Below are 21440 nucleotides of genomic sequence, written 5' to 3' on the forward strand. Positions count from 1 at the left end.
GGCTCTGGTGATTCATTTGAAATAAGTCTCCCAGTGGCTGGGCCAGATAAGAGTGTGCGTGCATCGGATGCTAAAACTCACCAGATATCTCAATCGGGGCCCAGGGAAGTGTCATGTGGGCTGTAGCCTCCCAGTCTTCAGGCATAGGCCTTCGCGCAGGTATCTGAATGGAGCCTTGAGGTCTGAGCAATCACTTCTCCCAGAGGGGGCAGGGTCCAGCTAGGAAGATCTCTGCGGCCAACTGTGCCTCAGACACTCCACCAGCGCTTACTCAGGTCTTACAGCCGAACTGTCCTGTCTTTTTCTTTCCTTGTTTTGATTCCCACCAGCTATTGGACTTTTCTCTGGGAATTCAGGGGTGGTTATTTGACGTTGCTCTGAGCTGGAAATGTAGAAAGGTAGCCTTTCCTGGCAGACACTGAGAGGATCCTTTCAACTTTTTCCATTCTATAAAGTATTAATAAATTGGTTGATGATGTCAGTGCCATTAGGGTGAAATTGAGATGAGAGAAGTCTTTCTCACAATGGCTGCTTTAGGGGGTCCCTCCATTTTGCTGTCCTGAGACTAGGCCCCCAGAGATATTTGTGTGAAGCGGTGAAGAAAGACTGAGGAGAGAATTGGAGGCTTCTGGAGGGCCTCGAATCTCGTCCAGGATGAAGAAACAATAACAGGACACCAGGATTCAAAAGAGGAAGAGAAACATCACATTATTTATTTCCAAAGAAAATAGCCAAATGCAGCGCCATGTACACAAAAGCCTTTGGAGGGAAAAGGAATCACAGATTTAATATCATTTACATTTATATATTTACAAGATCAAGCCATGGCTTTCAACTTTGTTGTTCATTCAACAATCACTTTCAGTCAAACAACTTTTATTTTCAAGTTAGTTCATAATTTAACTGACACTAAAGAGACAGATGATAAATCACAAACAGTGTGGGTAGAGAGGGTACAAATAGTCTAAAGATTTCAGCCAGGCTTTTGTGTATATGTGAATTATGATTACAAAATGTTTGCCTGTCTGTATAATTCACATTCATTGCAATTATTACATTTTCTCATAAATTAGCAATATAAACAAACATATGGAGACCTTCAGTTAACAAATAAAATCAATATCAGGAAGAACATTTTGCAGCAACTATAATAACAGCATGGGTTACAGCTTGGAAAAACTTCTTTACAAGCCATTTATTCAGCACACACAGAGTAGGGGGACCAGCACATCCTTATTTATTTAAACCACCTTTAAAACCACCACAGGAGTTTTGGGGAAACCTGAACTGGGTGAAAGTTTCTTTGCTGGGCACAATATAAAATGAACAACTTCACACGTGAATGAAGGGAAGGATGGGCATTTACATGCATTTTCGATCACTGTGTTGTAGACCAAACCTTCTAAACTTCAATTGCCAAGATTCTGAAGGAAACAGGAAATTAATAAAATATCTCTCTCCTTCAGCTATTCTCCTTCTTATTAACGGCAGAAAGGGCTTGTTGATTGCTGCTAGTGAGAAGAAACACACAATGGGTCTATTTTTAGCAGAGGTGGCTTTGAAGGAGCAGGAGATATTAACAATTGCTTGGCTGCATTCTTAAGTTCCAAGGATCCTGGGCAAGAATATTAGGAGCCTGAGGGGTACCCAAAGGAAACCCATCTATGTGACCCAACTTGGGCTGATTGAATGCAAACCAGAGCAGAAAGAAGCAGAAACACAATTATGGACTTAGGGTATGTATTCTGCTTGCACCCTCTCTGCATTCTTTTCCTCATGTCCCAAAGCTTGTCCCGAGGGCCCCCCAACTTCTGCATACTTCACCAGACCAGGCCCTGACCCTGATGTCTAGGCATTGCTTTTGTTTATCCCTTAGCAAGACTTAGACCTAAAGTTATGTATTGATGCAGTGTGTGGATATTGTTTTAAAAGAAGTTTGATTTTTATCTCTTTAGAAACGGTTTGAAACTAACGGGGCAGAGGGAGTTTGACAGAGAGGAGAACAAATCGCTGACAAAGAACCTTTTACGTTTCATCAGCGTTGTTAGGACGACAAGCAGGAATGTCTCAGATAATAACTCCCACTTCAAAGATTTCTCAGCTCAATAGAAAGCGGACCATCCTTTTTATTCAACCACAAGGACTGGCACTAAAGAAGACTCCACTGTTTGATTTTTTTTTTCACTGTGTTTATTTTTCCCCTATTCACTGGGGTACTTGGATAAAATAAACAACAAGACAATTAAGGGAACATGGACTTCTAACTTTCCTGCCATCTTCCCCACATCCCCTTGGCCTTGGGCTCTTGAGTTTGCATCTAGGACTAGTCCAGGCCTAAGGGTACCACACACCCTGCCTTAGAAAGAAACAAGTTTCAGGGGCCGCAAGAGACTTTTGGGATGGAAAGGAAGAAGAGTGGCACGGAAAGCCAGAGTGGAAATTCCCAAGGGCACAGTCTGAACTCCTCAGACTCCCCCAGGGTGGCTCCCTTCCCCCCAAGTCGCCATTAAATTTAAGCCTCCATCCTACTCAAGAGTCAGAAAGGCGATTTGCACAAAACTGAGCTTGGAATGCTCATTTGTTAAGCTTCGGAGGCTGCTTTAAAATCTTTCACTCCTGATCCTGGAGCCTCTTTGGGGTGCAGTCAAGATGCACAGAGTCCTTGTGCTCCTCCCTTTCCTGAAAGTGTCCCCTGCGCCAAAGCCTCCCACATCAGGGTGCAGAGTGAACCCCTAAACGTGGGCAAGTCGGGTTCTAGAAAGGAAGTATATACTGGAGAGCGCAGTGACAGTATTAAATGGCGTGAAAGCAAAGGTCAGCGCAAATGTATCTTAATAGAGTGTCTGTAGTGAAGTGTGCCGCCTTTGAAGCGGCCGCTCCCCGCGCGTATTTCCATGGCGAGCCTAACGCGGCATGCTGATGCACCGTCAAACTCACACTTTCAACCCCAAAACCCGACTCTTTGAACAACCCGAGCTTGATTAGACCTTTCTCCTTTTCTTTCCCCTCTTACAAACCATTTCCTCGCCTTTAGAAACTCGCCATCAAACCCAAACGCGCCCTCTGATCACCGCAGAAAGCAGAAACAAAGGGGGCTGAGCGGCGATTCAAGCGGCTCTTTTCTTCCTTCACATTATTATCCATTTTTATTATGATCGGGTACAAGTGCCCATTCGCGTGGGTTTTGTTTACCGGAAATTAAATGAAAATGATTTAGTCCGCGTCAAACAAAAATATATACTTGTATACACAAGAAAAAAGGTCTGTTAGACGTAAATATTATGTCCTTAATGAAAAGCCTGGACGGGCTCCAGGCTTGGCCTTTCAGGATTTCAGTGCGACTTGCACATTGCCATAGAAATCCTAACTTACCATGAAGATGCACCGTGGCGAAGAAACACTGCTTTGTGCGCGGGCCCTTTGATGTAGCAGGCGCGAGATGCGGGGCGCTCAGCTGCGCGGAGCGAGATTACCTTGCGAGCAACGCGGTGGACATCTGTAACAAGCAAATGAAAAATTAAAGGCGATTAGTGGCCGACCAAACATTTTGTTTTATTTCATTATTTTAGATTGAGATAGAAAGCAAAATGGGGAGCTTAGAAACAGAAGACAAAGAAAAAAGTCCTACTTCAGGAAGGGGGACTTTTTAAACATTGGCAGAAGCAGCAAGTTCCGCAAATGCCCTCTGCACCTTAGTGGTGGGGTTGGTGTTTCACTATGGGAAGGAGTTGTTTGTTGCCGACTGCCCGCGCTGGGTCAGGCAGCCTCTGGGCCCTATTGTATTAGGTGTAGGCAGGAATTTCAGTCCCCCTTTCTCAAGGACGGATTCACTAAAGGTGTATTTGGAAGACTGCATTTTTTATTTGGAGTCATGAAAATAGTTCCACTCCAGTTAGGATGTTATTTCATCTGATGAAAGTTGTGGGGGCTGCGGGCAGGAGTGCTAATTGTCTAATTGCGTCTGAAGAGGATAGAGCAGAAGAAAATTCATCAGTGGCAGGGCCAGGAATTGTTTGCTGGGCTCAGATTTTAAAATTGAGGTCTTTTGTGGGGCCCTCCCCAGAGAGAAAACCTACCTCCCTCCCCAATACACACACACTGATTTTCAAATTCTTAGGGAACTGAGATGAGTCTGCCAAAGCTTTATTATTTTATTTTCCTTTACTTCTTCAAGTCTTAGCTAGGATTTTGGGGCAGCCGCATTCTCCCTGCAGATGGGGGGAGGGGGGAAAAAGGACCTGATTTTTTTCCCTTTGGCCGCAATTGCAAAGGCCTTTCTCGCCCCCTCCTTCAACATCTGGTTCTTTTTTTCTGGGGACTTCATACGCAGCATATCAAATACACATTCAATCTAGACCCACTGGGTGTTTGCCTTTACAATATTTATTATTGTGGATCATTTCTCTAGTTCCTCCTACACCTTTTTAAAAATAAGACGAACATTGTGCAATTACTAACAAAGACCATCACCGAATTGACGCAATTCACCCAGACACGGCCGCCTAGGTCAGGTCTCTCCACTTTAGAGGCTTCGACTCAGTGACGTCATCAGCTCGCTCTACACCCGGAGCCCAAGCACCTACAAGACTACACAGGCAACGCCTCTACAGGGGTTGGGGTGGGAAAAAGGCCCGGGGAGGCCTCACAGCATTGAATCCTGAAGCCTCTCTGGTGTTCCTTTGTCTGTATTTCTTGTTGTTTTGAATTCACTCCCTACTCCAAGTATACAATGTATATTGAGTCTGTGGACGACAGGCAGATGTTTATCTGTGTGCCCAGGCCACTCCATAGGGGTGGAAGCGTCTAACCACCACCCACCCACCCCCTGCTGAAAAGACGATGAATCTCCCTTACCTCCTTTATAGAGGAGGTTGGAAAAATTAGGACTTGTGTGTTTTTTGTTTCAAAGGATACCTAGGGAAGGGGAAACCATAGGAAGGCAAAGAGGAAAGAAACTGGAGTCAAGAAAACGGCTCTGGAATTCCCTTTGCCCCCTTCCCTTGATCTGAACTTCTGAGGTTGGAATTAATGTGGGGGAGGGGAGGGTTAGAGTGGGGGTGGGAGCGGCCCAGTCCTCGAGAAAAATATTTCCCATTCTGCGAAGCATGCGGGAAATCTGTGGCTTTACTTTTGTCATCTGCAGTTGACAGGATTGCACATAAATTCTCCAACTTTTTTTTCCATCTCCCTGTCTCTTTTCGCCCCTAACCCTGGTTTTATGATACCCAGTCATGAAGGCGCGTGTGGGGGTGATGGTGCTGATTGTGACTACAGAATAAATAGGGGGACCATATTTATCTTCTAAAATAATGGACATTATATTAGCGTATTCAGTGAGCTCCAGCAACTATTACAGGTGGCCGGCCGGCCTTCCTTCCTTCCGCCCTCGCCCTCTTCATGCCTCAGAAACGTGGCCTACTCTGCATTCGGTGTGTGCGGAAGCAGCAATCACAGAGGCAGCCCTAATACCGGAGGCGGCGGCGGCAGCAGCAGGGCCAGGTGGTAGCTCGGGGCTGAGGATCGCGGCGGGGGCAGCCGCTATGGGGCCCAAGCCCTGACACACGTACCATTCGCTCAAGTCGGCGGTACGCGCCGCCACCGCCGCCGAGGAGGCCACCTGGGACTTGTGGCCGCAGTCCGACGAGGGCGACACGAGGGCAGACGGTGTAGCCGAATCGTAGCCAGAGCTGGGCGGCGGCGAGCGCCCGTGCACCTTCATGTGCTTACGCAGCGAGCTGGGGTGCGTGTAGCACTTGTCGCAGCCCCGCACCTTGCACGTGTATGGCTTGTCGCTAGTGTGCACGTGCGAATGCTTCTTACGGTCGCTGCTGTTGGCGAAGCGCCGCTCGCAGCCCTCGAACTCGCATCTGAAGGGCTTCTCGCCTGGCGGAGGCAACGCAGAGACATTAGTGCTTGTGGGTCGTGTTCCCGTCAGGTGCTTGCCACCCTCCCCCATTCGTCTCTCATTTTCTGGAAAAGAACTACAAAATATTTTCAGAAATCCCTTTCCACGGCGCCTCAGGTCGAGCACCCCTTTCCCTCGTGCAGAGAGCGCCCCCGGTGCCCTCTCTTGAACGCCTCCATCCCTCCCGCCTTCCTCCTCTGGGCTCATGGGGAGGGTATGGAGGAGGAGCGACAGTGACTCCATCTTAGTCGAGTTTCCATCCTCGAAAATCCTGATCCACTCGGGTTGTTTCCTCCAAATTTTCTCCACTTGGAACCAGAAGCACCTCTGCTCGGAAATACATTAACGGAGGAGCTCACAATATAGTTAACGGGGAAGCTCACATCTGCTCGATTTAAAGTTGCTGTTTCAGACTAACTTCTCTGCCGCTACCCCGCCCAGCCGTTCATCCCCCCCACCCACCCCCATCCTGGCCCAAATTGTTTCCTAAAGTAGGTTTTGCGCAAACGCCAAAGCGATGAAATAATTTAAGGATGCGCAGCCGATGCACATTGTGTGTGCATAAAGTGGATTCGTGCTGCAGGGAGAGGTATTCTGAGCAATGATTCACTTCAGAAGAGATTTTTACAGGAATGGAGCCCCCTCCCTCTTTCCTTCTACCCCCTGAGGGCAAACATTTAGCAGCATTCTTCAAATCTTGCCTAAACCTTCCGGGATCCCTCCAGATACGCTCGCCAGTAATAATATTTCATTACGCTGCTCCAGAGGCTTCCTGGAGACCGTGCTGTGGGCAGCTGGCCCTCCCAGTCCGCACTGACTTGCGATGTCGACCGGTCTGCCCAGACCACCCCCACCTGGCTGTCGGGCCTCTCGGTCCTAAGACGAGGGGTTGGCGCGGTAGGGTCCGCACAGGCCAAATGGGATCCGAGGTGTCTACCGCAACCACGCCCTTGAGCGCTGCGGCTTCGGGAAGAAAACAGCTGCTGCTGTCAGGCCAGGCCTGGCTCCGCAGCCCGGAGGGCCACCAGGCGGCTGGCATAGGCCGGGGAGGGGCTGGGATCGGTGGCTGCGATGCCCTGTAGAGCCGAGGGAAGGCGCGAGTGCACGTTAGAGTGACAATATTGGCCGGACCGAGCCCCAATCGGGGAGCTCACGGCCAGCTGAATTCGCTGACGTGTAGGAGAGGAAAGGACCCCGAGAACCCGGAAGCCTAGATTCCTGCCGGAGCTGCAAGTGCTGCGGAAATGGGGGAAGAAGGTTTCTGGGCGCTTTAAACAAATGGCTGCCTCCCAGCGCTCTGAGTTAAGGGACCGGCTACCTAGCGTCTAGCTGAGGAGGAAGACGCGCAGCTGGAGAACTGTTGCCTTTGTAGTTGCTTCTCCCGCCGCATCCAGGAAAAACAGGCGCTTTGGGGCTGGTTAGAACAAACAAAGCCCCAATTCCCGAGCCCTGTTGAGGCTCGGACAGAGAGGTTTGCGCACAACCTGCGCTTCTGCGCAATCAGCGGCTCCTGAGCCCGGGTCTCCGGCACCACCTGGTCGCTGGATTCCCACCCTACAGGAGCACAGCTAGTACACTGAACAGTCTGGAAGGTGTTGGCACCTGCCATTTCGCGGGACACTGGCACCATTTTATAAAACAGTGATAGAAAGATGCGGAATAAATCAGTGTTCCTATTTGCCCCCATTTTTATCTCCTCTGATTCCTGCCAGCATTTGCAAACCCAAAACTTTCTTCCTTCTTCTCTTTCAAAAAAAAAAAAAAAATTACAAAAAACATACAATTCAGGGCCTGCAAAAGAACCAAGGTTATTTTGAGAAAACAGAGGTGAAATGGAATTAGAATTTGGTGCCCCTCCCCAACAACCCCCACCCCCAACAAAAATCCCGCCAAACGCTTATCCGATCTCGTGAGCGCCTCACTGGACATTCACGTAAAACAAAAACAATTATTTCGCTCCAGACGAGGAGCAGAGGAGAAAACAGCAGTGCACTGAGTGATACCGGCAGCCGGGAAGTTCGCAGGCCCCTAGGAGGCCAGGTGAGGCCGCGCCCCAGCTTGCTCCGGAGCTGCAGGAGGCGCCCTGGTCTCTGCGCTTGACATCACCCCCGCCCCCCGCCAACACCCGGCCTCCAGTCCTTCCCCCTCCCTCCAGCTCCCTGCACTGCGCCCTGGGTGGGTGGGTGAATGTGAAGAGGCGGCGTTGGGCTAGGCCCCTGCAGCCCGCTCGGAGCGTCCTAGGCCCGGGGCTGCGCTGTGAAAGACCCAGATTCTCATCCCAGAGGCCCAGCAGTCCTGAAAGGCCTCCTCTCCGACCCTGAGCCGGGTCCGCCGAACAAAGTTCGGAAGCTCGGGCTAGCTGGGCCAGCGCCATTTTCTCGCACTTGTGGCTGGATCTGGTTGTCCCGGCGACTGCGCCCCGGCGCGGTCTCTTTTCCTCTACCTCGGATCCCCAGCACTGACTCGCCCTCAGACGCCGGGGAAGGTGTGGTGAGCTCCCGGCCCCGGCCGAGGGGTCCCTGGAGAGGAGCTGGGTGGCGGTGGCCAGGCCGAGCGCGGTTGCTGGCCCGCGCCTCCCTCCCCGAGGCACCATTGTTCCGGGATCGCTGTGACCGCCACAAAGTGAATCCTTTCGGTGCGGACAGTCGCCTTCAAAGCCAGGCCCCGGATTCAGGTCAGGGAGAATCTCAGCTCCTGAGAAATTTGCTCCTGTTTGCCGCTTCTGCTACTCGAGGAAATGAAACGCCATTAATATTTGAAAAGGCAATTATTTTCCTGTTGAATCGAGAACTGTCTTCATGAATAATTTGTAGTGAGGTCTATTGCCATTTGAGAAATATTTTTTTTCCCTCTCTCTCTCTCTCTCTCTCTCTCACTCTCTCTCTCTTCTTTTTATGACTAGGAGGGGGATTTGAGGGAAATGCCCGAGCAGGCCAGACTCTGTAGTTCGTTGTTGGTCGTGTTTGTTTGTTTGTTTGTTTTTGTTTGTTGTTTCCCCCACCCCCCACCGCTAATGAATCAGGACCGCGAACCGAAAGAACGCACAAAATTCTGTCCTGAAAACACGAAAACCTGAGCCAGCCGTGGCGCACTGAACTTGCTTCTCTGCTGTAGGTCGACTGTGCTAAGAATTTAACCATTTTCTGCTTCACAGAATTCAAACAGTGGGCCGGCAAAGAGCTGTAAAAGTTTGTTTGTTTAAAAAAAAAAAAAAAAAAACCCTGTCATTAAAGATGAGTTCCTTCTCCAGCTCAGGACTGCGAGTCTACCTTCCGGGTGTCCGCCGCCAGCTCCCGGAGTAGCAGGCCTGGGGCCAGGATTCCAGTGTGACCTACCGCCCCTTCCCGAAGCTAAAACCTCTGGTGAGGGGGTGAGATCCATGCGACATTGTGGGAAACCCTGAAAAGAACTCAGGGAAACCGTACACTTCCAGACAAGCTTTAGAAATAAAGTGCCAGGCTCCAAGTGGACTTTGGTCTGGTCTCCGCATGTGCCAGTGTCCGGGCCATGGACCTTCCCCGGGAAGGGAGAGTTTGGGGAGAAGATAGGCGTTAGAACAACTAGCCTTAGGAAGTTCTTTGACTCCAACAATTGTCGATGTTCCAGCAAGAATAGGGGCGAGTAAGGCAAGGCACCGGGCAGTAGGAGAAGTGGGGCACCAAGCTGGAATTCATTTTATTTTCTCCTGTCCCCACCAGTCCCCTTCTCCCGCCCCCAAAATGGGGGAGGGGAGAAGATGTTGATTTCTTAAACTTCCAGGGAGGAGGAGCGAGAAAACCCTAACTAAGGAGAGTACAAACAATGGCTGCTAAACTAATTAATGTAACTTCACAGGCTGTTCTGGAAGTGTGAAAACTTTCTCCTTGCAGTTGTATTAATTAGAGATGCTCTGGCCAGAGGAGTTCAATTTTGCAGGCTCTTGAACGATACTCCTTTTTTTCTGTTAACTAGAAGTAGCAGATGTAGTTGACACATGTCCCCATTTCCCTTAGCAGCTTGGTAAATGATATTTAAGGTGGATAGGTCTGTGCTAAAGCGAAAGTGAGGGTCCACCAAACATCCCTAGTGTCCGGCCACCAAGGCTCAAAAATACGTACAAAGTTAGCCCATTCGACCCCCAACTCCTAAAGAAGGCTCCAGGGCCTGGTAACCTCTCAGTCCAGGTGGGCCAGGTTATCAGGACTACAGGTGGAAGAGTTCTGCTGCGCAATTCCAAAGGGACAAGGAAAAAAGTTAGACAGCTGTTCTTATGTCTTTACGACTTTGGGGAACAATGCTGTTTTAAAATATCTTAAAATCAAACTCTTAAGCAGAGAGCACATGTTTGCACACACAGGGTCTTAGGCACGTTCACCCTTGTCCCCCCCAGAACAGAAATCCCGCACTATCCTCCCTACACACAGCCTCCGGAAACTTCTGTGATTCTAAGAATAGAAGCGCATAATTAATATTTTATGGCCTTGGCTCATGGAAACAACCCCAAAATATTTCCCCCTCCCCTCAGTTGGGACTTGAGGAAATCCAGACCCGAGGGCCTGCTTCCCCAGAGGGTCCGCACGCGACAGACAGCGCCGAATACTGACCTGTGTGAGTTCGTTTGTGTATTTTGAGATTTTCTGATCTAGCAAAGACCTTCCCACACCCCGGGAAAGGACAAGGGAAGGGCTTCTCGCCCGTGTGCACGCGGATGTGATTTACAAGTTTGTATTTGGCTTTGAAGGGCTTTCCCTGGCGCGGACACTCCTCCCAGAAGCAAATGTGGTTGGCCTGTTCCGGGCCGCCGACGTGCTCCACGGTGACGTGCGTGACCAGCTCGTGCATGGTGCTGAAAGTTTTGGAGCAGAGGCTCGGGGTCGCGGTGCCGTCGGCCGCCAGCCACTTGCAGATGAGCTCCTGTTTGATGGGCTGGCGCATGTAGCGGAAGAAAGCGCCAGGACCGTGGGGCGCAGCGAGGTTCACCGTCAGGTTCATGCCCCCGTAGCCATGCAGGGCTGCGGCAGCTGCCAGGGCGTCGCTGCGGGCCGCAGGCCCTGGCGGGAAGGGCTCCGGCCGCGCGTACATGTCTCCAGGGAGCCCCAGACGCAGGAGTCCATTCAAAGGACGGCTGGGGGAGGCCTGGGGAGGCTCCTCGTGGAGGCCCGGGAACACCGAGGGGCTGGAGGCGGCGGTGAGCTGGGGGCCATGGTGTCCAGAGCTGCTACCTGTTGTCGAAACAAATAGCGCGCATGAGAACGGGTGGCGTGGGCTGCGCGCTCTTCCCTGGGCCCCGGGGGGCAGGCCCAGCCCTGCCGCACTACGGCCTCTGCAGTCAGCCGTGGAACTCAGAGCCAGACAGCGCCAGCAGTGAACCCGGTGGACAGAGCAAGGCCAAACACCTCCGCCGCCATTGGGCCGAATTGCTGTTGGGCCAAGTCCCCCGCCGCGCCATGAGCTAGAGAGGGATGGTAGCGGCAGAGTAGATGTAAGGGGTAATGGAAGGCGCAGGGCTGAGTCTGTGGGTTGCTGGGGGTTCTGCTCCAGAGGGGTAGGAGCTGAGCCCCAAGCGCACTTTGGCGGCTAACACCCCGGGGCTCTCCGGGGCACGATGCCCTGCGGGGAGTGGAGGTGACAGAAATGATGATGTTGGAGGTGGTGGTGGTTCTGAAGCGCCCCAGCCATATATATTTTCAGTGCCCCGCTTGGCTAGGAGAGGGCGGCCGGCTGCTTGCCGACCCACGCTCCCCGGAGCTCCCTGTACCGGGCCGCTAACACCACTGCCACCTGACAGTGGGGAGGGGAAAGGAAAACCACACAAAAAAACTTCTGTAAAGTTTTTTTTTTCTTTCTTTCTTTCTCTTCTTCTTCCCAAGGTTTGGATTTGGGCGCGCCCACCCCCTTGGCTATTAATGCCTACGCGAAATCCTGCACACTACAGAAGTAGCAGCAGGGCGCGTTAGGAAGTCAATAGAGATTCAGGGCCGTGGCCTGGACCCACAGAGAGGAACAATCGCCTGGGTAGCCCATTGGCCCGCGGCCGGGTCCGACGTCAGTGATGACAGGTCCTGCCGCACGCGGTCGGTCTCTCTCTCTCTCTCTCACACTTCCCTGCTCCAACCGCCACCCCCTCACACACCTCTCCCCCAAACATATACCCTCTTTCCCTCCCTCACCCCACCCCCACAGCATCTCAAGCTTCCACTGCTCATGCGCTCTGACCCGGGCACAAATCCTTTTCTCTCCCCTTGAGCCTCCTCCCCCTCCTCTCCGGAAAGCTGAGTGGATCAGCTTTGACTCAGGGCTCCTGGAAGTACTCGGGGCTGGGTTATGCCACCATTCACCACAACTTTGGGGAGGCAGCATTGCGGGACCTCAGTCGGGGCTGATGGGCAGCATCGTGTGCGCAGAGATGGCGGTCTCGTTGGGCAGTTTGTCCCTGCAGCCTGCAAGAGGAGGGGGTCGGGATCGAAGGACCGAAGGAGGTTGCTGACTCAGGAGCCAGGAGCTGAGAAACTCCTAGGCTAGCAGCCGTTGAGCCTAATTTTATTTTCTGGCTTTCTCCGAAATGTCTCGTTTCCCTCATCTTTCTGGTCCTTTTCGTCTCTCTTATTTTCCCCAAAACGTCTACCTCACTTCGTCTTCCTTTCTCCTCCCCTCCCCCTCTCTTTCCTCTATACTCTCTTCCCATTTAGCCTTGCAGGCCCCTCCTCCCCGGTGTTGGAGAGCTCAAAGACGCGCGAAACTCAAGGATCTGGCCCTGACCAGGGACGGGATTAGGCGGGAAGTGGTGACGGCCTGAAAAGGCTGGGCTCGAACCCGTGCCTTCCTGAAAGGACTCTCCCCGCCACAAGTCACACCCACCCGCAGGCCTGCTGGCCAAAGAAACAAAGGAGTCGGGCGTGGATCCAGGAGAAACAGGTTTTCGCTCTCGGATCTCCCTGGGCAAATCAGGGATCCTGAGCGCTATACCCCGCAGTCGTACGGAGCCTCTGGGAAAGGGGATTTAAGGGTGACTTCCACTTTCAGCTTCGGCTACTTGTTGCCTGCGGTCCAAGCCTTCTCTGCTTCCTCCTACCTCGTCTTAGGCCTCTGTAGAAAGTGCACGCCGCGTTTCCCCTTCCAGGCTCTGAGAGGGCCTGCAGGCCCGTGGCCGCCTCCGACAAGATGCCTTCCAGTGCTAGGGGGGCCACTTTGGCGGGATGGGGGTCGGTTGGTTAAAAAAAACTTAAGTTCTGGCTCAGTCGAGTGTGGCAAAAGCCGAGGGTCGGGGGTTGGGGGGCTTTGGGGGCGAGCGGTAGTCCTTTGTCTGAGCCGACCGGCTAAGGTCAGCTGCGTCGTCCGGCGATTTAAAGGGCTGCTGGCCGGGACTCCTGCCTTGTCGCTGCAGCCGAAAATGCCAGTCTAAGTGCTTGGGCTTCCCTGGCGGCCATAAAAAGTGTCCCCCAAACAGAGAAAGGCTTGTATCTTTAAGAAAAGTTTTAAAGATTGAGTAAAATATCCCATACCCCTTAGCAGAGGCAAGAAATTTTGGCAGATACCAGCAATGCTGAATAGAAATTGACTGAACTGCCCCTCCTCCCATCCCCAGCACCAAGGACTATTCTTATACATTTCCTGGTCAGTAAATAAGGCCTTAAAAAATTTTTTTTTAAAATAATTAACTGATGTATAACAGTTGGCAGATTCTTTGAGACCTTCATTTAATGCATTGTTCCTCCCTTGGGTGCACTTTAGGGAGGGATTAACTTCCACAACAATTTCTCTCTACTTAGACACGTCCAGGTCTTTCTGCTCCTCCTACAGGAAGAGCTTGGATAACTCTACCAATAGATACTCCTCAGTATTTAAAAAAAAAAAATTAGAGAAGAGTATTTGACTGCCAGACCCCCACTCCCTACTCTCAAAACCAAGGGCTTCCACACAGCAGTTTTGTGACTAGACTCTCAGGATATGTCTCCCTGGCTTTCACTTTCTCCCATGGTTTACTCCTCCACCAACAGGCACCATCTCTCTGATCCTTCCCCTGCTCTGATCCTTCATCCAAGCAGTGGCATGGCCAGGTCTCCAGTGAAAGGTTTACACATCTCAATGAGTCATTTCACCTCCCAGGTGTATGTTGAATGATGCAATTGTCTAGGCAACTCTGGACTGAATCCATGAAGGACTCCAAAAAGCAAAACAAAAGCCAGAGTATGTTTTTACCTGAGACTCCTTGCCCAGTTGTTTTTACTATCCGCATCTTAACACCAAACTTGTTCAGCTTATGTGGTATTCAGGTTTAAGTGCAGGGGAACTTCTGCAATATTTCGGCAATTAAAATTTTTTTTCTCTGCTGGACCCTAGGTAATCTAAAACTAACAGTTCAGAATGTTTGTCAAACTCACTTTAGCTTTAAGACTCTGATTTGCAAAAACACGGATTTTTTTTTTTTTTTTTTTTGAGAGGGAGTCTCCCTCTGTCGCCCAGGCTGCAGTGCAATGGCGCCATCTTGGCTCAATGCAACCTCTGCCTCCCTGGTTCAAGCGATTCTTCCACCTCAGCCTCCCAAGTAGCTGGGATTACAGGCACCCAGCATCATGCCCAGCTAATTTTTGTATTTTTAGTAAAGACGGAGTTTCACCATGTTAGCCAGGCTGGTCTTGAACTCTTGACCTCAGGTGACCTGCCCACTTCGGCCTCCCACAGTGCTGGGATTACAGGCGTGAGCCACTGCACCCGGCCAGATTTCTTAATATATACACTGTGACCCCACCTCCATCAAAAGCTTTGAATAACAGTATGGACAGATAGGAGAAGAGGGGTTTTTAGTTGTTTCAGGCTGTGGAACCCTTAGGAAGCCTGGTGAGTCTGTTGAACTTCTAATAGTCCAGTATTTGCTGCACATATTCATCATAGAAGAAAACACTAACTTTCCAATAGAAGGTTGTGAAAATAAAGAGGCATTTTTTTCTCCTCCAAGTTTATGGGCCCTCTGGAATTCTAACCACTGACTCTCTGGACTCCAGGGTTAAGAAACAGAGGTTTTATACACATAGTCTGCTAGCATACTACACACTTTCTGTTAGTCACTTTGCCTTTGAAAAGCTTTGAACTTGTGTATGACTTTTTTGTGCCAGCAGCAAAAGGGCAAACACATCTGATTCAGCCAAAATCCTGGAGAGTAGGCTGGCCCCATGGAGCTCCTTCCCAGATGCAGCCTTCTCTTGAAAGCTGAAAACATCTGGACCCATTTTAGGTAGCTTCTTCTTGCTTGAGTAGCCAGGGGTCAGTAGACCTGCAGGTCACTGAGGTTGCCTGATCTTTGCAAGTTCCTTAGAGCTATATGGTCTATATGTTGGTTGGCTAAACCCAGCAATGGGACCAGACATTCTCCTCGAAGGACATTTCCCCAGAGACAGCAATAAGGGATTACATAAGGATCTTCAAGGTATATCTTTGAAATAAGCCCCAAAGCAGTATCCAGTTCAAGGTGATGGGGCATCAACAACTGAGAGGTATATTTTAGTCTTTAGAGAGATCATTTTGAGTCTTCCAGAGCCTGGGAAGCAGGGAACCCAGGCTACAGAGATTATCAATTGGGCTGGCTAAGGAATGGTGTCTCCTCAGTGCTCTTCAGATTTTTTTTCCAGAAACATCTCACTATACCTGCCCCCAACACCAAATGCTTGACTGAAACATTCTATTCCTACCCATGCCTGGAGATATAACATTGTTAAGTCTACTTTTCTGCTTCATTTGTAGAGAAAAAGAGTATCTCACAACCCACAGATCTTTAGCACATGTCAAAATGAAACACTGGAAGCTTGTTTTCTTGGGGACCTATTTGGAGCATATTCCACCACTAGACCCCAAATATCTCTTGATCTTCAGAGCCTCTGCAAACCAGTGCCCAGAATCATGCCCTAAGCACTTTTGCTCACCTACCCAGACGAATGCAGTGGCATAAACAAGTGATTTCCTAGTTCTTTTCTAGAAATAGAACATTTGGTGGCCCTACCATCTGCCAGAGCTCCTTAAATCACTGGTTTGAATGTCTGATCTCACTGCCTTGGAAAGAAAAAAAAATGGAGGATATTTCAGATCAACAGCTGGGCTATTTTTCCATTTTAATATTTTAAGCAATGCTAAATTAAATGATGATTGTTTATTGTAAGTTATGCCCAGATCAGGAGGTGGGCCTTACTCAGCTGAGGGCCACTGTATAGAACCTGGCTAGAAACAAGTCTTGTCATCTGAATGTTCTGCACTAAATCAATAGTCACTTGTTCAGTTCTTTCTTCCCTGTTTCTGGCCAGGTTGCCACCCTAAACAGAGGTAAATTTCTTTAGAGGCTAGTCACAAACAGACTTCAAGATTCCTACACAGGGAGTTTGCCTCTATTCTTATGCAAAGAAATAACATAAGCCCCAGGAGGCCATCCGTATTTCTAAGCCCAAATTGTGCAAAGGAGATGAGATCTGTTAGGATTTTGGCAATAAAAGAGGATATTCTTCTCCTCTGCTATGGAAATTTGAGTTTTAAACATCATTAATGGAACTGAGTATGGAAGAAAATATACTTGGATATGCTTTAATTTCCAAGCAAGGATTCTACAAAACATCCTGTGACAAAAGCTTAGGAAACATTGCTTTTGGGTCTTCCAAAACAGTATTAAAGAATCAAAACAACTGAATTTACATAACAACTCATACCTCTCTTGAGACTTTTGCCATTAAATCATCCCCAGATAATATAGAGAGCCATTTCCTGGGTTGTCTATTTGACTTTGGTTAGGAAGGTTCCTTTGTCTACCAATGAGGGAACATCTTTGGAGGCAACCATCAGCTAGTGATATAGTTGAAATGAGGAAAACTAGACGCCTGGAAGGGAAAATACCACCCTAAATCATATGCTTATTCTAAATGGAATATTAAATTAAATTCTTCACAATGAAGGTATTCCTGACAGAGCAGCTGTCAGTCACTCCCTGTTCAGACACCACATTGTGGGAACCTCGTCACTACCACATTGCAGAAGGCTGGTATCCCTGGTAAAGATGATGTATATCATGTAAACCCCATCATCCAGATCAAAGTCTGCTTCTTTCATGGAAGCCAATACATGTCAAACCTCATTCCAATCAAATTGTCTGGAAATGAATTCAAGATGAATATGTCACAGAATAACGTGACAGTGGAATTGCAGAAGGTCAGGGGTGGTTGTTTCAATGAGAGAATCGTCAAATATTAATTCTGGAACGTCCAGATGAGTAGGCATTGAGGGGGATTAGCTGGCTGCTGGTGGGACGTTGTGTCATTGATTTGTGTGCAAATGTATTGAACACTAAGGAGTTCTAAGTTTCATTTGAACTCAAGAAACTCCCCCCAAACTCTCAACCCAACATAAACAAAAGACAAAACAAAACTTCCTACTTAAAAAAAAAAAAGAAGAAGAAGAAGAAAAGAAACCAGCAAACCAATATTCAAAGGAGGATTTTAACTTACTTGACTCTTTAAGAGTGTTTCGGTAAAGCCGTAATCGTTTCCTCATCACCAAGGATGTCTTGTATCTCATTTTCTGACTTTGAGCCTGTTTGGGAAGAAAAGAGTGACAGTCACTAGTTAAACAATTTTACACGTCTGTGTGGCAACATCCTGTGGTTTGAATGTATGAATGAAAGAAGGAGTTGATCTGAAGATCTTTCGGTCTTTCTTTGACCATTTTCAAATTTTGAAGCTAAAGAAAAGGATTTTGCCGGGAACAGCCCATATTGCAAAATGATATATCTTTGGTGATAAAAACATTGAAAAATTATAATTTCCCAGCTAGGCTTTTATTTGAAACTCCTTTGTTGTTTTTTGCAAGCAGAAGTAATCTCTCTTTTAGTCAGTGCTCAAAAATCTGTAGCTTCCCAAATTTGAATTAATTGCGTAAGAAACCTTATTATTTTTCAGAAGTTTATTAACTGAAATTTAGTGAGGTGTGGTGGGGAGAGCCTACTGAACTCTGAGAGGTTAGCAGCTAAAATTTGATTTATAACTGTTGGAACCAAGAGGAGAGGAATTTCTTTGCAGGTTTTCAAATCCTGTTCTGCCTGTGGTGGTGCAGAATTCCTTAGCCTCACATTTCCCATACCCCAGACCCATTTGGGATTCATCACCGGTTGACTTTTTAAAGTTAATATAAAATTTGTCAGGTTAAAAAGGTATAATTTTAATCGTTTGGTTCAAATCATCCACATTTCATAGTTGAGAAGGGTAGAAATAACACCTCCCATAAGATATACACATTACTCATCAGATTCACTTTGTGACTAAAGTTACCAAGCCATTGGCCGCCTTAAATACTTAAAGCCATCCTGAGGACCTCTGCATCTGTCAGGCAAGGCTGAGGCAGTTGAGCAGCCAGACAGAAGCATCTATCCGGCCCCCACCCTCAATTTGGCCTAGAAAGAAAAACAGTCATTGAAAAGGTCTCAGGCTGGACAAACACAGCAAGTCCTCTGTCAATGGGGATGTCTGCCCACAGAACAAGCAGTTGTTTAACTTGTTGAACCACAGGCCAAATCCAAGTGGGACTCTGTTATCTTAAACGGTATCCAGTTCTCTATGCACAAAGATCTCTCTCTCTCTCTCTCCCCCTCAACGTCCAACCAGAATTCCAACTGGCTTGGCGGCTTTTACCCTTCCATCTCCCCTCTTTTCTAGGTCCAGGCCTAGGAGGCAGGGGGGTAGACTCACCTTTTCCCAGAGGGTATTATTATTTTCAATTCTTTCTAACCAAAAGGCATTCTTCCCCAAAGGTAATAAGCTCCTTCCAGCACAAATCAGGAAAGAAAGGAGGCCTAACTTTGCATTCCTACAGAAGGGCGGCATGCTGGGCGTCCTCGCTCTGAAATTTCCTCATGGCAGGATGTCTGGCATGGAAAAGTCCTGGTTGGTTGGCAATAATAGAATTTACTCTTTTGCTTCTGGGGGAAATGGGTGTGAGGTTCCCTAGAGATCCCTGTCCACCCATAAGGCAGCCCCAACCCAACTTCTAAGAGGTCTGGATCACTTCTCTCCCAGGTCCTGTCAGCCTTTTGTGCACTACAGACCCATAGACATGCAAACAAATATTGCAGAGATTGGACTAGGGCAGGCAACAGGGACCTTAGGAGGCTCTCTGTAGCGTTTCCATCACACAGCCTACACAGGGAACTAGGGTAAACATCTCCTTTAGTTCAAACTCTGACACCACTTAGCAAACAAGCCAGTCATCTTGCTGAAAGAGAGGTGAGAGAATTTGGGAGCAATCCTGGGGCCCGTGGACCTGAGGTCCCAAACAACCACGGAATGTAGAAACTCAGTTTCGTTTTCCCCAAATGCTTGCTCCCCACATCAACCACGGCCTCCTAATTACCAGTCCATAGCACATCCTGGAGACTTTTTGGAATCTGCCCTCCTGGCCCCACCTTGAGAAGAGGAACGGGTGCCAGGGAGCTCCAGTGATTGATAGTGCCGGAGGAGAGCCAAGAAGGTGGGACAGTGGGTAGGTGCAAAAAGCACCATTTTTATTTGGGGGAGCCTCGGAAGCTGCAAATTGTGGGGCCGACCTAGCCGGCGCAGGACTACCCAAGGTCAGAGGTCAGCTGCAGCTAGAGACTTCAGTTCCCGAGCTGCTCCTTACTGACTAGCCGGCAGGCGCGGGAAAGGCATGCCCACCTCTCCGCTGCAACTTGTCCCTGGCGGGCGCAGAGCAAAAACCCTGAAAGCTGGCAGGGAGCTCTGAGCCAGAGAGGAAACTGGCCCCGGCCTTTGCCCGCTGCCTGATTTACTCATCTGCACCCTGCACCTTTCTGGCTCCCCTCCATTCGACCCTCAAGCGCCAGGAGTTTGCTGAGGCTGGGTTGTGCAGGGGCCTTTACTCATTCTCCTGTTCTCTAGAGGGAGAAGCTTGGGTTTCCCAGCTCGGGGCTGAAGTAAGTGTGGGCAGCATCCGGGTGCCCAGAATAGAGTTTGTATCAGTAGATCAGGCTGGGCATTTAGCCCTCCCTTTGAATCACCCCTCCCCCAACCTGCAGGCGGCTGAGACAGGAGAAAAAAGAGCAGCATGCAGTGGTGTGGGTCGCTGCGAGGACAATACTGTCGGAAAGCGGGGAAAACATGACCTTGGAATCCAAAGGGAGTTTCCTGAAGACGGTGACGGCCGAAGTGCAACCCTCCAAAAGCCCCTCCGCTTTCCTAAGACTTTGACATGGGCCATTCATCAACCCCAACTTTCAGATCCAACCTTTGAGCCAGTCCTAGCTTTCTTTCACAGCTCAGCTCTATTCCCTCCTCATTGGCCCCTAATTTCCAATGCCCCTGGGTCTAGGCTAGGGGCCAGAATCCTAGGAGCTGCGGCCTGCTCCCCAGAGAGCTAGTTGCTGCTCTTGTTCGCATTGGAGATAAAGAAAGCCAAGTCCCGAACCCACTGCTGGCCGCGCGCAGAGAGCAGATCCCAGCAGTCAGCTTCCTGAGGCAGGACCAGGGTGAGGGAGGGCAAGGAGCCGCCCTGAGGTGGACTCAGGCGGCATCTGCCGTCAGGTTGGGGCGGAGAAGTTCCATCGTCTTGCTGCCATCTGGGCTAACTTGGCGCTTTGACCCTGGAGAGGGGAAGCAGAGACTCTCCTAGCCACCCCCTTGGGGGCAGAGCAGAGATACCTCCTGTAAAGGCCCCCTCCCGGCACCCGCCTTGCTCATTTTTCGCGAGGGAAGCTCTGGGCCACGACTTCCATTCTTGTGCCCACGGTGGGGCACCCAGGCAATTCACAAGGAGAGAAGGGAAGGCAGGCAGGCAACAAACTGCTCCTGGTTCCTGTGCCAGTGGGAGCCCCATTTGTACCCCTTTTCCCTCCTCCTGGGAAGAAGGGATGGACTCATCCTCTGCGTTGCCCCTTTGCGGAAGGGCCCCCTCCTCCCCTTAGTGTCAGTGGGGTGGGGCCTTTATCCACGGTTGGGGGAGGGGGGTAGGATGAAGGAGGAGATGGGGCAGAAAGACTGGCTGGGCCTCTTCCCCCACTGGGGTTTGGGTGCCAGTGGTCCCCTTGAGGGTACTTGCTACCCGGTCGCTGGAGGTACAGTTCTCATCTGTCTGCCCCCTGGACTCACGCACTTACCCCACTCCACCTGTTGCCAGGATCGCCTCATTTCTGCACATCATTTCGGGGTGGCTGAGAGGGGACCACAAACCCCTCCAAGCCTCTCTTTTGTGGTTCCAGCGAGGCGGTCATCCTTCACTTCTCCTTTTCCAGCTTTCAGGAAGCAGTTAGGGAATGTATGATGAAGCAGAAATGAGCCGTCAGGATGATATTTTAATGGCTTATATGTCACGTTGGTGCATGTGGCTTTGAACTGGAGCCGTTCGCGTTTCCTGCAGAGAGCGCCGCAAATCCCACTTGATAACTTCTACAACCCACAACTTTTTTTTTTCTCACATTCACTCTTACCCTGTATATTTGGATGTGTTTCCTAAAAATACCCTCTTGTCAACGTCCCCGTTGGATTTTCCACGGACTGGAGAGGAGAAGACTGACTTTTCTTTTTTGAAGAATTATTTT

The 21440-nt window shown here is 49.6% G+C and overlaps 1 protein-coding gene and 1 long non-coding RNA gene across 9 annotated transcripts, besides 4 other annotated features; one reads left to right on the top strand and one right to left on the bottom strand.

Annotated features, from left to right (window-relative positions):
- Positions 683-21180, bottom strand: ZIC4 (Zic family zinc finger 4). Of its 8 annotated transcripts, none has more exons than NM_032153.6 (5): positions 21000-21180; positions 17365-17449; positions 10489-11106; positions 5568-5883; positions 683-3496 (listed from the first exon to the last, which is right to left on the bottom strand). In NM_032153.6, coding segments are annotated over exons 2-5 (1005 nt in total). In that variant the 5' UTR covers positions 17435-17449; positions 21000-21180; the 3' UTR covers positions 683-3495. The 8 variants fall into 8 exon arrangements, 5 of the variants coding, with proteins under 5 accessions (NP_115529.2, NP_001161851.1, NP_001230185.1 ...); NM_001168379.2 differs by lacking the exon at positions 21000-21180 and adding an exon at positions 20010-20157; NM_001168378.1 differs by lacking the exon at positions 21000-21180 and adding an exon at positions 18601-18921 and having other exon boundaries at positions 685-3496.
- Positions 1499-3543, top strand: ZIC4-AS1 (ZIC4 antisense RNA 1). The gene is made up of 2 exons (NR_046703.1): positions 1499-1736; positions 1956-3543. It is a non-coding gene; the product is annotated as a ZIC4 antisense RNA 1 (long non-coding RNA).
- Positions 5114-5630: an enhancer, noted in NCBI's record as "H3K27ac-H3K4me1 hESC enhancer chr3:147108264-147108780 (GRCh37/hg19 assembly coordinates)". NCBI's record gives its function as "activates a minimal SCP1, AML or CMV promoter by ChIP-STARR-seq in naive H9 embryonic stem cells {active_cell/tissue: H9 hESC(naive)}" and the evidence as "EXISTENCE:reporter gene assay evidence [ECO:0000049][PMID:30033119]".
- Positions 5631-6145: an enhancer, noted in NCBI's record as "H3K27ac-H3K4me1 hESC enhancer chr3:147108781-147109295 (GRCh37/hg19 assembly coordinates)". NCBI's record gives its function as "activates a minimal SCP1, AML or CMV promoter by ChIP-STARR-seq in naive H9 embryonic stem cells {active_cell/tissue: H9 hESC(naive)}" and the evidence as "EXISTENCE:reporter gene assay evidence [ECO:0000049][PMID:30033119]".
- Positions 8015-8516: an enhancer, noted in NCBI's record as "H3K27ac hESC enhancer chr3:147111165-147111666 (GRCh37/hg19 assembly coordinates)". NCBI's record gives its function as "activates a minimal SCP1, AML or CMV promoter by ChIP-STARR-seq in naive H9 embryonic stem cells {active_cell/tissue: H9 hESC(naive)}" and the evidence as "EXISTENCE:reporter gene assay evidence [ECO:0000049][PMID:30033119]".
- Positions 10366-11103: an enhancer, noted in NCBI's record as "H3K27ac-H3K4me1 hESC enhancer chr3:147113516-147114253 (GRCh37/hg19 assembly coordinates)". NCBI's record gives its function as "activates a minimal SCP1, AML or CMV promoter by ChIP-STARR-seq in naive H9 embryonic stem cells {active_cell/tissue: H9 hESC(naive)}" and the evidence as "EXISTENCE:reporter gene assay evidence [ECO:0000049][PMID:30033119]".

Source organism: Homo sapiens, chromosome 3 (assembly GCF_000001405.40).
Source record: "Homo sapiens chromosome 3, GRCh38.p14 Primary Assembly".
NCBI classification, from domain to species: domain Eukaryota; kingdom Metazoa; phylum Chordata; class Mammalia; order Primates; family Hominidae; genus Homo; species Homo sapiens.